Source organism: Homo sapiens, chromosome 14 (assembly GCF_000001405.40).
Source record: "Homo sapiens chromosome 14, GRCh38.p14 Primary Assembly".
NCBI lineage: Eukaryota > Metazoa > Chordata > Mammalia > Primates > Hominidae > Homo > Homo sapiens.
In genome coordinates this window covers 29,793,147-29,806,663 of record NC_000014.9, presented here as the reverse complement: position 1 = coordinate 29,806,663, position 13,517 = coordinate 29,793,147, and the positions used below count along the sequence as shown (strand labels likewise).

Sequence of the window (13,517 nt, the reverse complement as noted above, 5' to 3'; positions counted from 1 at the left end):
AATCTCTGCATACTTCAGGAGTTTGCAAGGTTAGTTTTTTGTTTTAATACTTACCTGAACAGTCGAACCATTTTCTAATGCTCATCTAACCAAACAACTACTTTATTTATTGTTCTGCCTGACCTGTAATGTAATCTGCATGATGCGCTGGCTGTTTTCTGATTCAGACTACATATTTCAGATTGGATCTACTTGTTGTATTTTTTTTTTCTCCTGCAACCTGAAGGCCAGGCAGAGAGGGTTCATTGAAATCTAGGATTTGTTAGATTGTATTTTAATCAGTTTCACAGCATACCCTCCTTCTCCCAAGCCTATTGCCCAATCTCAGAATGAGATCAAAATAAACTGAAATTGTCCTTACTCACTTTCACAAAGTTGCTAGTTAGAAGCAAAATGTCCAATCCATCCTGTAGGAAGAAGAGAGGGACCCAGCAATGGGCCCAGTTAATCTGTAAATTGCATATTTAACGTAGGAATAATCATGGCTCTTGTTATTGAGATCTTTTCAGTACATTTGGTGGAAGTAAACTGTTTGTGTCCTCCAGTGGTTGATGAGATCCGCTTCTTGCCTTGCTTTCCTCTCCTGGGCATTTATTTGCTAAGCAGATTGATCTATTTAGTGCATCTGTGTCTGGGTGGGTGATGTCTCCACTACTACAGTACACTCTTCTGTATTTATTATTTCACTAACAATTACTTCCACTTTCTCAATTTTCCCTTCTCTGGCTTGTTCTCATGCTCTTATCTTGCCATAACTTAAGTTTTCTTCTCTCCTCCTCATTGCATATTCCCCTTCATTGGCAACTTACAAGTACTTACATCACCTTGTGATGACTCACACTTTCTGTTGATAATGAAAAGTGATCATGTTCTAGAGAGCAGAGCCCATGCTCTGGAGGCAGCCTGCCAAGGGTTGAATCCTGGCTCTTGGCTCTACCACCCATCAGCTCACTAGCACTGTGAACTTGGACAAGTTTTTTAACCTCTCCTTGCCTACCTTTCCACATCTGAAAAATGCAATACTCTAGTTCCCACCTCATAGAGATGCTGTGAAGATTAAAGGAGTTATTCTACATTGTGGATTTAGAACGATTCGTGGCACGTAGTAAGTGCTCAACAACTGTTAGCCATTGTTATTACTTAATTTCATTTAGCTCAGTTGTATGACCATTCATTCAGCCTTCTATTAGCATTCTATTTTTCTGGCAACACCTATTGATATCCCAGATAATTAATTTTCTTTTTTTGTAATGCATTTAGAAAATGCTGCTCTTTGAAGTAAGTTAAGTGTTGCCTTTTTCTCTGTTATTTTGCAAGGAGGACAGCTTGAGTTGGAATATCTAGAAGTAAAAATCTCTCTGTTATGGTCAAATACCTCTTAGTATCCCTCAGCCAATGGGTGTGATTTTTACTTCTTCCCCCGACCAATCTAATGGAGTTCAACATCTTGCTACTGCAGGTGTCACCTGCTTACTATTAATAGCAGCATGGTCAATACCCAGGAGGTTGTAGAAATGCAGATCAGAGGACACACTGCAGACCAACTGTATGATAATCTATAGTCTAACAAGATATCCATGTTATTCTTAAGGCTATTAAAATTTGAGAAGCACTATACCAACATTTCTAGGTCTAGAGCACCATAATTCTGCTCTAGGGAAATAGGAAGAAACCAACCTGAATTCCATTTTAATAACACATAATATTGACTATTTCTATAATTTAGCACTTTAAGCCCTATGAGATTTCCTGGAAAACCTATGTTGGCATTCTCTTGGGTGTAATTGTTATCGATTAATGTCATGATTAAAAGTACGGCTTAGGTCTACTGGGAGTTTTAGCTCACTGAAAGGAAAAAAAAACACCTCATTGATCTGAAGCCCTCAGTCAGTCATTCTTAGCTTTTCAGAAAATACTTCAGATAAATAGCAATAATGTTAGCACTGAGAGGTTTGTCTCAGGGGATGATCTTTCTAACAATGACTTGCATTGATTAAGTTCATTGCTTTTTAACTGTTCACTTTGTTACTGTGGTAACTCTATTTTAAACATTAGGATGCATTTTTTTTTTTTTTAGTTGGATTGTGTATGGGTAAAGTAGCACAAGGAGGCATATTTGGGCTTCTTGTACTACTGGTGAATTACTTGTTGAGAGTCTAATGCTCCTGTTTTCTAAATACTGCTTTGTTGAGACAAGATTCTGGAAAAAGAAGACATTGGACATGTTCGTGGGTTAGACAGCATTAAGAAAAGTCAGGCAACTGTTATGATTCTTGGTATCAGTGTCAGCTCTCAAGAAAGGACTAAAAGTGCTAGATTTACTAGCTGGAGAACATTGCTTTTTGAACAGTTTACTCTTGGGAATCTTGTATAACAATGTTGTTAGATTGTTCTCTTGCCTTTTGCATACATTTTTTTTTTTTTTTTTAGTTTCGTTCTTGTTGCCCATACTGGAGTATAATGGCCTGATCTCGGCTCATTGCAACCTTCGCCTTCTGAGTTCAAGCAATTCTCCTGCCTCAGCCTCCCCAGTAGCTGGGATTACAGGCGCCAACCACCATGCCCGGCTAATTTTTGTATTTTTAGTAGAGATGGGGTTTTGCCATGTTGGCCAGGCTGGTTTCAAACTCCTGACCTCAGGTGATCCGCCCCCCTCGGCCTCCCAAAGTGCTGGGATTACAGGTGTGAGCCACTGCACCCGGCCGCATACATTTGTTTTTATGGGTGGTTGAAACGTTTAGAAAATCTTCAGCTCACTGCTTACTGTGGTTACAGGATAGCAAGAAAGATAAAGAGATTGGGTTTAGGCATTTTGAATTTGGCTTTAAATGAACCCAGTTGCAGATGTTAAATGGTGATATTAAGTCAGTCTAAGCATTAATATAAAATGATGTTCAAAAGTTATAGAACAGCATATAAATAATTGAAAAACAAAAGATCATTATTTTACCCCTAATTACTAGCCTTGGAGTATGGGTCAACCTTTCCACATCCCTCACCTTTCACATGCAATGAGATGCTCAGTGAATCCCAATAATTATCCTTTTCTTAGAGTCTCAAGTTCTTATCCTCTGTTTTTATTAAAACAGCTGTGTTTCCAGCTTGGATTATTTTTACCTCCTACTTAAACTGTTGCAATTCATGGGTCATTTACTCCTTCAGAGTTACCAACTATGTTTTTAACAAGTTGAGTATGCTAATATAGAGTTACAATTTTGATATTAACTAGACAAAAAAATTAAAACTTGGTGACTTCTCATTGTCAGTAAACAAAAAAATCATTTCCCAATCTGGTCAATTAAAATTCCCCAAAATGGTCATAGTTTACCTTAAAATATTCTTGCTAGACCTTCCTAAGTATGAACCTTGTGTGCCATCAAAATGAGACTGTTTATTCTAGTCCATATGTACATTGTATTTCACAATATTTGGACCTTAGCTCTGTTTTTCCCTCCATCTGGAATGGTCTACTCATAATTTCTGCCCACTGAAATACTTCTTATCCTTAATCCTTTTCCTTAAGCCTGTGGGTCCTTTCAGCCCTGAACACTCAGGTATGAACCAAATACTACCATTTGGGAGGGATATATAGAGGATAGTCTTGCATGGCTTTTGACCTGGCCTGTCTCATGTCCGGCTCATTGAAATGCAGTTTCTGGTTCTCAGATTTTAAGTTCCAGAAACTTCATTTTTAAAATAAAACCAGAGTTGCTATAGTTCCTAGAAGATAAATCCAGGCTAGTAAGCCTCACAAAATATTTTTATGGACTGGAGTGCCTGTATACTAACTTAGAGTGAGTGATGTGCTTTTCTTGGATATTGCCTTTCTGCAACAAGATGTCTGCAAAGCAGATTCAGAAACTGGAAAGTTGCTCAATTGGCTCAGAATTGAAACATAAGGAATTGGTTGGTCTTGAAGGATATTCCATCCAGGTTATGGGAAAATCTTATTGAGTCACCTGATAAGATTCTTTTCCTTGGATAATTTGATGTAAACACTGGTGGATTCCTCAGGTTCCAATCTTTTATCTGTTGCTCCAACTGACTGAATTACAGTTCTCCTTTACATCTTCCATTCTGATAGTATCATTCTAAAGATGTCACTTTGTTACCTTGTTTTAAATTTAGCAACTTCCTATCCTTGTCAATTAACTTGTAAAGTAATCCAGGTCTAGAAAACCACATTTAGATCTATCTAATCCATCTACTGTGGTGCAAAAATCTTTGGATGGCTGTTCTCATACATCATGTGTTTGCTTTTGAGCCTTTATAGTCTCATAATGTGCTTTTTATCTGAACTTACACAAGAATTATTAAATTGCCTTGTGCATTAGATGTATTGTCTTCTTCCTTTCTTAATCTATTTGTATTATGGTTATTGGCAAACTGGCCTTATTTACTATCAGGTCTAAATTTCTTAAAAGCTGGGACTATTACTTATTCTTGTTTGTTTTTTCTGTAGTCTCAAGTAGAGTCACATCTTTTTTTTTTCAGAAATGTAGCTTTACATTCTTCATTTATTTATTAATTCTCTCCTTCCCTCTTTCCCACCCTCTCTCCCTTCCTTTCTTCCTTCGCTCCTTTCTTCCTTCCTTTCACAGGCATTTATGAAACATATACTATTTGCCAGGAATGTATTAATGTCTGAGATTACAGGTATAAAAGATGTAGACCCAGGCCGGGCCTGGTGGCTCATGCCTGTAATCCCAGCACTTTGGGAGGCTGAGGCGGGTGGATCACCTGAGGTCAGGAGTTTGAGACCAGCCTGACCAACATGGAGAAACCCCGTCTCTACTAAAAATACAAAATTAGCCAGGTGTGTTGGCGCATGCCTGTGATCCCAGCTACTGGGGATGCTGAGGCAGGAGAAACGCTTGAACCTGGGAGGCGGAGGTTGCGATGAGCCGAGATTGTGCCATTGCACTCCAGCCTGGGCAACAAGAGCGAAACTCCATCTAAAAAAAAAAACACGTAGACCCTAATAGCATAGTTACTGCCACTCATTGATTGCCTTAAGCTCTTCATGTAATTCATATAAGACCACCAAAACCTAAGTGTTAATACTCCCCACTTGTTTTTTGTTTTGTTTTGTTTTTTAATAAGCATATTGAGGTTCAGAAAGAAAAAATGACTTTCTTAAAACCACACTGTTAGTGAAACAGCTGGGATTGAAGATCAAGGCGATTGCCTCAAGTGGTTCTTTTTCCCTACTGCTTATTCATGTTCATTGGAGGCAACTTTATCGTTTAAGGTACTGTGATGGCTAGCTACACGTGTCAACTTAGCCAGGCTGTGGAGGCCAGTTCTTGATTAAACACTTATCTGTGTGTTGCTGTGAAGGTTTTTTGTAGGTATGGTTAACATCCATATTCAGTAAGCTTTAAGTAGAGGCATTAGCCTTGATAATGTGGGGAGGCCTCATCAATCAGTTGAAGACCTCAAGAACAAAAACTGAAAAGAAGTTTTGCCTCAAGACTGCAGTACCAGCTCCTGCCTGAGTTTCTAGCTAGCTTGCCTGCCCTTAGATTTTGGATTTTCCAGTCTCTACAATGGCATGAGACATTTACACACACACACAAACACACACACACACACACTTGGGTCCCCTTTCTCTGGAGAACCTTGACTAATGGGCTGATACAGGTTCTGACAGTTAAATAGACAAAATATTACACTAGCATTTTTATTGCATTACTTTAAACTCTCAAATTAAAAGTGTTTTAAAGTTTAAAATGTATATACCATATAGTAATTTTATTTTAAATAGGGAGGATTGGTGCCAGGGGTCTTATCATGAAGGGACCAAGTGTGGAGCTAGAAGGAAAGGGATGAAGGACTGGACTGTTTTTCAAGGTGATTGAAAAAATAGAGGGATGTCACAACTTAAAGTTGGTCACATTATAGCTGTCCAGGGAAAGATTTATAAAATTGTTGAAGATACTCATTTCAAAAAATTCAAATAACAGAAAACACACATTTTTTTTCCTGTGATTTGACATCAGCATGTCTATGTGTAGAGTCTGTAGTGTTCACAATTTTACTTTTAGTTTTCATAAGGTAAAGCAAGTCAAATATTTTCCTGCATGTGGACTTACCAAATATGAAGACACTGAAAAGCAGAGTAGTGATTTTAGGAATTTGGATTTCAGTCGAAAATTTCATTATTAGGCCCAAAGTTATTGTGGTGAATCCATAAAAGTTTTTTTGTCAATTGCAAATCAGAGTTAACCCACCAATAAAACCCCAGGGTCTAGAACACAGGTTTTAATGAAGTAGAAGTGGACACAGGGAGGAACAGAGTGTTAAACAAATGCAAGCACGCCTCTACGCAACCAGTGCGGACTCTCCTTGGAATGGGATATCACAGCCAAGTTGATTGGAGATATACAGTTGATGCTTATTATTTGTGGAAGTTCTGTTCTGTCACATCATCTTAGTTAGCAAATACTGAACCATTTCTCCTGGGAGAAATACAGGGTGGGTTAGTTCCTGTGAGTCTCTTGTCACATTTTTCTGAACGACCTATACATAATCTCATGTGTTTCTGTTTTAAAGACACCTTTTTTAATCTACTTATGGTCAATAGCGGTCAAACCCATGCCTGAACTGAGTTTATCTAACACATGTATTTTCTCTGTGAGACACATAACAGCTTTCTTGCACTTAGGAACACTAGACGGCACTTCAGCACTATGCTTGGGGCTCCTTTTGAGCAGCACGATCACCAAGAAGAAGCACAAAATGCAAAAAATGTGGCATTAAATAGACCATGAAAAGAACACTGTTGAGAGTATTGAGAACTGAAACAAGAAGGCAGTGTAAGCTGGGAATGTGTACATTGGGTAGTTCATTTTCTTGCCACTCCGTGCATGTCTGCAAGTGACCCCGAAAGCACTGCAGTATTTATTTTGGTGTCATAAATACATTTTAGCAAGTAGATGAATTTGCAAATGAGGAATTGGCAAATAATGAGGATCAGATCTACATAAGCAGTTTGGGTCTTCCTGGAAGATGAAACTATTTGTAGTTAAATAGCTCCCCCAAAGACACTCTGTAAGAGAGTGCAGTGCTGCCGAAGGACAGTGTTTGGCTTCTGAAGATTTTATGTTCATTTGCAAGATTATTTAATAAACATTTTTAATCCTTGCTATTGCAGCCTTTTAGAAGAAAATCTGTGCTATAAATAACAAAACTTTAACAATGGCAGTATGCTTTCTTTAGGAATCCCGGAGCAATTTCAGGTGTCTGTTTTGAACCACTGGAATGATTAATAAAATCAGTGCAAATAAACAAAAAATCAAAATTCAAGCAAAGTAATTTGTTATCTTTTCCAAAATATTAGTAGGGAAGCAATTTGTTTTCTTTCACCAAGATTTACAGAGTCAGTTCATTAAAATATCACTTGTTTAACCATGTTAAAACAATTACTTGTTTAATTGAGGTTTTCACCTTTTAATGACTTTTGTCATATTGAAATTTGCCAAGAAATTAGCAAGTCTACAACTTTGATTCTTGCATACTATTTTAATACTTTTAGGTTGATGCCAATCCTTTAATTCTTTATTTGTCCAACACTTAGTATGTGCAAATTTCTTTGCTTAAGAATTCTGAATTAGCAAAGCAGGGATTTTCTTGACTTAAGCAGCTGCCAAATCGTGGAGGTACTCCCACCCAAGAAAGAGGAGTAAAAGTGAGATGTGCTCTTTTACGCTCCTGCAGCAAAATTAGAACTCAAGGACAGAGGGGGTAGAACAGCTCAACTACTGATGAGATTATTATTTAACAGAAAAGAAAAGAAAAAGAATCAGTGATGTGGAAGATTATTGAATTTTTTTGTGAATCAAGATTTCCTCCAATAGCTCATTGTACACTGAATAAAAAAGGTTGGGTTATATTTTTATTCTGAAAAGATATTGCAAGCCATTTTTCTCAGCCATTTCATAAATTAGAATGGGAGAAAATAGATTTATATTATAGCAAGTACAATTTAGTGTAGACTAGTGGTGGGGGGCTACTACCAGAGCACTACAATTATGAATATTTATAACCTGAAATAGATGTAAGAAGTAAATTAGAGAAATTAACATGGGCAATAATCATATTCATACAGTGACACTGACTTGGAGAGAATTATATTAGGTAGTCAGAAGACTTTAGCCTATTGCTGCTTGAAATTATGTATACATGGATCCTTAATGTTCTGGGCTTGAATTTGAAAGGCTCACTCATCAAGATTTTTAGACACATTATATTTGCTTTTGCAAATTAGAAGCTCCAACCACAGATGCAAGTATACATTGCCATGTGTGGAATTAATGCTTCAGACAGCTTATGAATATGTATGTGTATTTTGGTGGCGCTTCTGCCACATGAGTCTGAAAAGCAGTGGGAAGTGGGTGGAACTGCGTGGAACTGCATATTGCTGTCAGAAAAGTGCAATTCTCAAAGAAAAAAATATAGGGGCAAATTTTCATTTCAGACATGTCTGCAAAAACATAAAATTTTCCCAAAGAGGAAAGCTGATATTTGTCCATTTTAATTGTTAAAATTTCTGTTGACATCTTCACAACTTAGAAATATTCTGAGGCCAATCCTTTATATTTAAATATACATACATCTTCAAGATGGTTTCTGGAATGCCTTAAGTTTCAATATGTAGTGAGATTTATATGGCATTGAGTTCTGTAATTACAGTTGTAGCTGATTGAATTACTGGTATATATGGGTTGGGTCTAGCTTAAGTTATAGTGGGAGGTTTTGTGTCTGTATTTCACCAGGATGTTGGTATTAACCACTGATTACCTCAAAATCATGTTCATCTAGAAAAAGAAATGCAATATAAATGGTAGTCCATTTGCAATCTGTTCCACTTTATGGGCACCACTTGTAAGTCATGGTAGCTGGGCAGGTTGGGGTGGAGGGACAGGAAAGCTAAGGCCAATAGCAGCTCCTGTGGTGGTGTGTGTGTCTGTAGCAGTGCAGGTGCTTCGAGGTTCCCTGGGCCCAAGAGGACGAAGGGTCTGCACCAACTGATAGTGGCACCCTTGGGTAGTTTGAATTAATTACCTGTTATGATCAGCCCCCTTTGATAAAAGTTTTAGGGTGTTCCGGAAAACCTTGTCACTCGGTGATGGTTTGGTGTAAGGGTCTGGTTAGAGCAGGATCAGATGATATTTACATGTTTCATATGCTGTAACAGTACAATTCTGATACTTCAGACAGATATTTAAGCAATTCCTAACAGTACATTTTAAACATCAAATTGAACCAGTGACAGATAATAACACAATTACTATTGCTCTGTTTTATTGATGTAAACTTACTGCATTTGATCAATTATTACCAAAGAGATTTTAATCCATCGCTTACAAACAATTTGTTTACAAGGCATACTGATATCCTCCTAAAAGACCATCTGATACGGCTTTGCATTTTCACCTGTTCTTGAAGTAGTCCCTCAGGCTATTTCCCTTTACCCCAGTTATCATTTAGAAAAGGTTTGCTTTTGATATGTAGTTAGGGTGCCTGTAAATTCCCTTTTTATCGTAGGTCTGGTCTAATGGAGGGTCCAAAGTTTTCTAGGTAACAATACTTTCTTCCATTTAGCCTTAGTCATCATTTCTTAATGGCCTTCCTCCTTAGAGCTCTAAATTGGATTAAGGTTGTATGTTATCTAGGAACTTTATAAAGAATTAATTGTTATAAATTTTCATTTGTCTTAAAAAACAAATAACAACAAAAACTCTTACACCTGTTAACCTCCCTTGCCCTTCTAGCTTCTGTGCCATTCTTCATTTCCCTTTGCAGTGCAACTCAACATGTCTACACTTGTTGTCTCTAATTCTCCTTTAATTAACTCCTAAACATACTTAAATCAGACTCTTGTCCTCACCATTCCCCTAGAACTCTGGTCAGGTTCAACAGTGACCTTTAAGTTACTATATCAGTAGGTTAGTGTTTGGCCCTCATCTTACTTGACCTATCCAGAGCATTAGAGACATGTATCTTCCTAGAGGCCTGTGACTCACTTGTTCCTCCACATTTTTCAGACCTTTTAATTTTGGAATCCCTGAAAGATGAGCACTTAGTCTGCTTATCTATTTGCAGTTATTGTTGGGGATCTCATTCAGTCTCATGACATTAAATATGATTTATAGACTGATGACTACCAACTTAATGTCATTACTCCAGACATTTCTTCAAAACAATCAATTTTCCTATTTCAGGAACTATAGGAATTTTTAGGTCTACATCAAAAATTTTAATAGACAAGTTTTGCATCTTCCACCAGAAACAAAAAAGAATCAATAAAGTGATAATTTTGAAATTTTGATATTGTTATGATTAAACATTCGTACCAATTTCCAAATTCCAGAGTTAGGGAGTTTAACTTAAGATAGACAAAATAAGATAGAGAAACTAGAATCACTCCATTCAGGAAACTGCATCATGCATATTTACATAATTTTTATGCATACTTGTTGATTGCTATTTCATATTTAAGGTTATATACCTAACAAAGTAATTCATGCCAACACAATGTACCATGTAATCCAATGGGAGATGTCATTTAGTGAGATAAATCATTTGCTTGTTTAGAAGAGTGTTACAAATATGTGTATCACTGTTATTTATATATCAATAGATGAAAGAAGAGTATAGCATTTATAACTAAAGAAGAAATACATATATTAATATGACCAGCTGATACATTTAAAGTGATCTTAGTAAATTATGTTTATTTTGCTTACCTTCCTTTGTAAACTTTGTCCTTTTTGCCTATCTACCAATAGGCAGTCAACTGCACTGCTTAAACACATTGAAAGTTGAATTATAACTAAAATGCATAGTCCACGGACTATTTCTTATATTTTTGGGCATGAAAATGTCCAAAAAATTTGTAATGATGAGCATTCCAGAACATTTTGCATTCTAAGTCTTACATGATTGTTTTAATATCTGGAATTGGGGAATATTGCACATTGTTGTATTTATCATTATTTCTTAGTTGGTCAATTTTGCTACAATTTTACAGTAGAAAAGAACTCTGATTTGAAAGCAATTTCAGACTGATTCATTTCAACCTTAAGAGTCACCAAAATGTTTACTCATCCTCTAAGTTACAATAATACTACTCATATTGAAGAAAAGACAATGTTTAATTAGAGCTTTCATAAATGTTAAATAGTGTTTATTATGTGAAAATTAGGTGAGCATATAATGGGAACATGAATTATTTAAAACACATTCTTGCAAAATTGAGGTAAGAATACAGAGGAAGATAAACTTTCCCTATAGCTCTTTAGATTCAATGACAGGATGACATTTAGTATATAAAAGAGATTGAATGTAATTAAATAGGTGTATATAAATAAATATATATTTCAAATATATAAAAAGAGACAAAAGCAATGGGGCTTAGATGTGACATTTTCTTGATTTCTCTGTATTTAGCATCTCAATAAATATAATAGTTTGATGAACTATTGATCCATTTAGTGACTAGAAAATTGATACTGATGTCATTTAGACAATGAATGAAAATGTTTAAGAGTAATATTCAAAGGACAGATATTCAGAGAATGAAAACAAATGCTGGTATAAATGAAAACACGAAAAGTAATTTTGAAAGGAAAAATGTTCAACTTAGTAATATTATAGAAATGTAAATTAAAACCAGGGTGTGTACTGCTGTCCATCTACTAAATTATTAAATCACTAAAAAGCATAAATCTGATTTTTAGTGAGTCTGTAGGGATGTTTATGAACTCACACATTGCTGCTAGTATAAATTAGAAGAATTTATCAATATTGGGAGGGTTACAACTGTGATCATACCTTTGATTCTATCTTTTGGCTTCTATTTTTGAGACTTCCTCAAGAAAACAATTCAAAATAAAATACAGCAGCGAAGACTTAGTCACCAGACAGACTGATACATATACATAGGGAGCACGGGGGAGGATTATAAGAGGGGAGGGAAGGGAAGAATGAGAAGGGGCAGAGGGGAGAGAGAGAGAGAATGAGCCTGTGTGTGTGAGCTCTTTGCCTTTCAAATATGTATTCCATCAAGAAGTCAGATAGAAACTCAGTACGCTTTGTAAATTGTTTATATTCATTAGGAATGTACAGTATAGCCTGATGAAAATCTATGTTTTAAATAAATAAGTAAATCACTGTACAACATTTTATTTACACAATTATTGTAAATTTCAAAGAGTGTGTATGTGGAAGGGGAATGAAAGGAATTGCCACCCCCTCAAAAAAAACCTTGATAATTTATAGATGATATTTAGGGGCAGGAGTACTTTATATTTCTATTTGTGTTTGTTTACTTCACGAATTTACATGTATATTCATAATAATTATTGCATATTTTATACTTTAAAAAGAATATAATAATTTATATAATAAAGTATATTCTGCTAAATACTCTAATGTGCATTATAAATCATGGCCCTTGTTTTGTATGAATAAAATAAAAACTCAAAAATAGTCTAAAATAACTTAAAAATTCTGAGCCTCCTTTTATAGAATCAGCATTGTAATCTAAAATTATAGGTGAGATTTGAACTTAAAATACCTAATAATAAATCTACATTCTATGGCAGTGAAACAAACTTAATCATTGTGCACAGCAGAGACTTGCACACGGCTAATACGCTTGATTTAAAACGGCCACAGTAAAGATCTGCTTGTGTTAGAGGAAACATTGGATCTTAGTAAATTCAGAACACAGCTCATGAATTGCTATGTTCAGAAAAGGTACTACCCTAGCTTGCTTCCATTTTCTCTCCTTAATTTTACCATTAGTGCAAAGACACACCTGTACATGGAATAAAAATAATAGTATATGTTTAAGAAAAAAAAATCTAATTAACAAATTGTGTATTTCCTTTTCTGTGGGTAAACAGCAGCTGTGAAGCCTTTAAAATCCACTGTTTATTCAATGGAGTTATGTAGAAGAGTTTTGGAGACTAGCTTCATTTTATAAAAGCTTTAAAAAAAAAACTTGCGCTCATCTCTTCCTATTTGAATAAGAAATACTCACTGTTCATGCACATGATTATTTTGAACATTGCTCCCATTTCAATGTAAGAAACCAAATTGTGCAAGCCAAATAGTGTTTATACCTCTTCCCACAGAACACACATGGAAAAGATAGCTGTGATATTCTTTACAGAATTTGGGATTTAGAGCGCACAGTATCTTAGAACAAATCAATTCTCGTTAGTGGCTTTTGTTTTCTTTAAGAAGAATGTATCTCAAATTTATCTGAAGGAAGAACAGGGAACAGATGAAGTGTTTCTTTGGTTATTATAGTTTGGATGTTTTTTGAAAAATTTGCTCTTTTTGTTTTTTCCTGTGGACATTTTTTTTTTGTCAACAGCTTAAAGATGACTACTATATATGAGATATAGAAATGGATGTCTTTTTAAGTGCGATTGCATTCTCTATTCTTTAGAAACACCTACCATTTCAATAAAATTATAGTGCTCCTACAAGCAAAAAATAGG

General features: G+C 35.7%; 1 protein-coding gene across 6 annotated transcripts in view; it reads left to right on the top strand.

Annotated features, from left to right (window-relative positions):
- The window catches only part of PRKD1 (protein kinase D1), a 351,369-nt gene that overhangs the window by 121,184 nt on the left and 216,668 nt on the right, over positions 1 to 13,517 (top strand). The window lies entirely within an intron of this gene.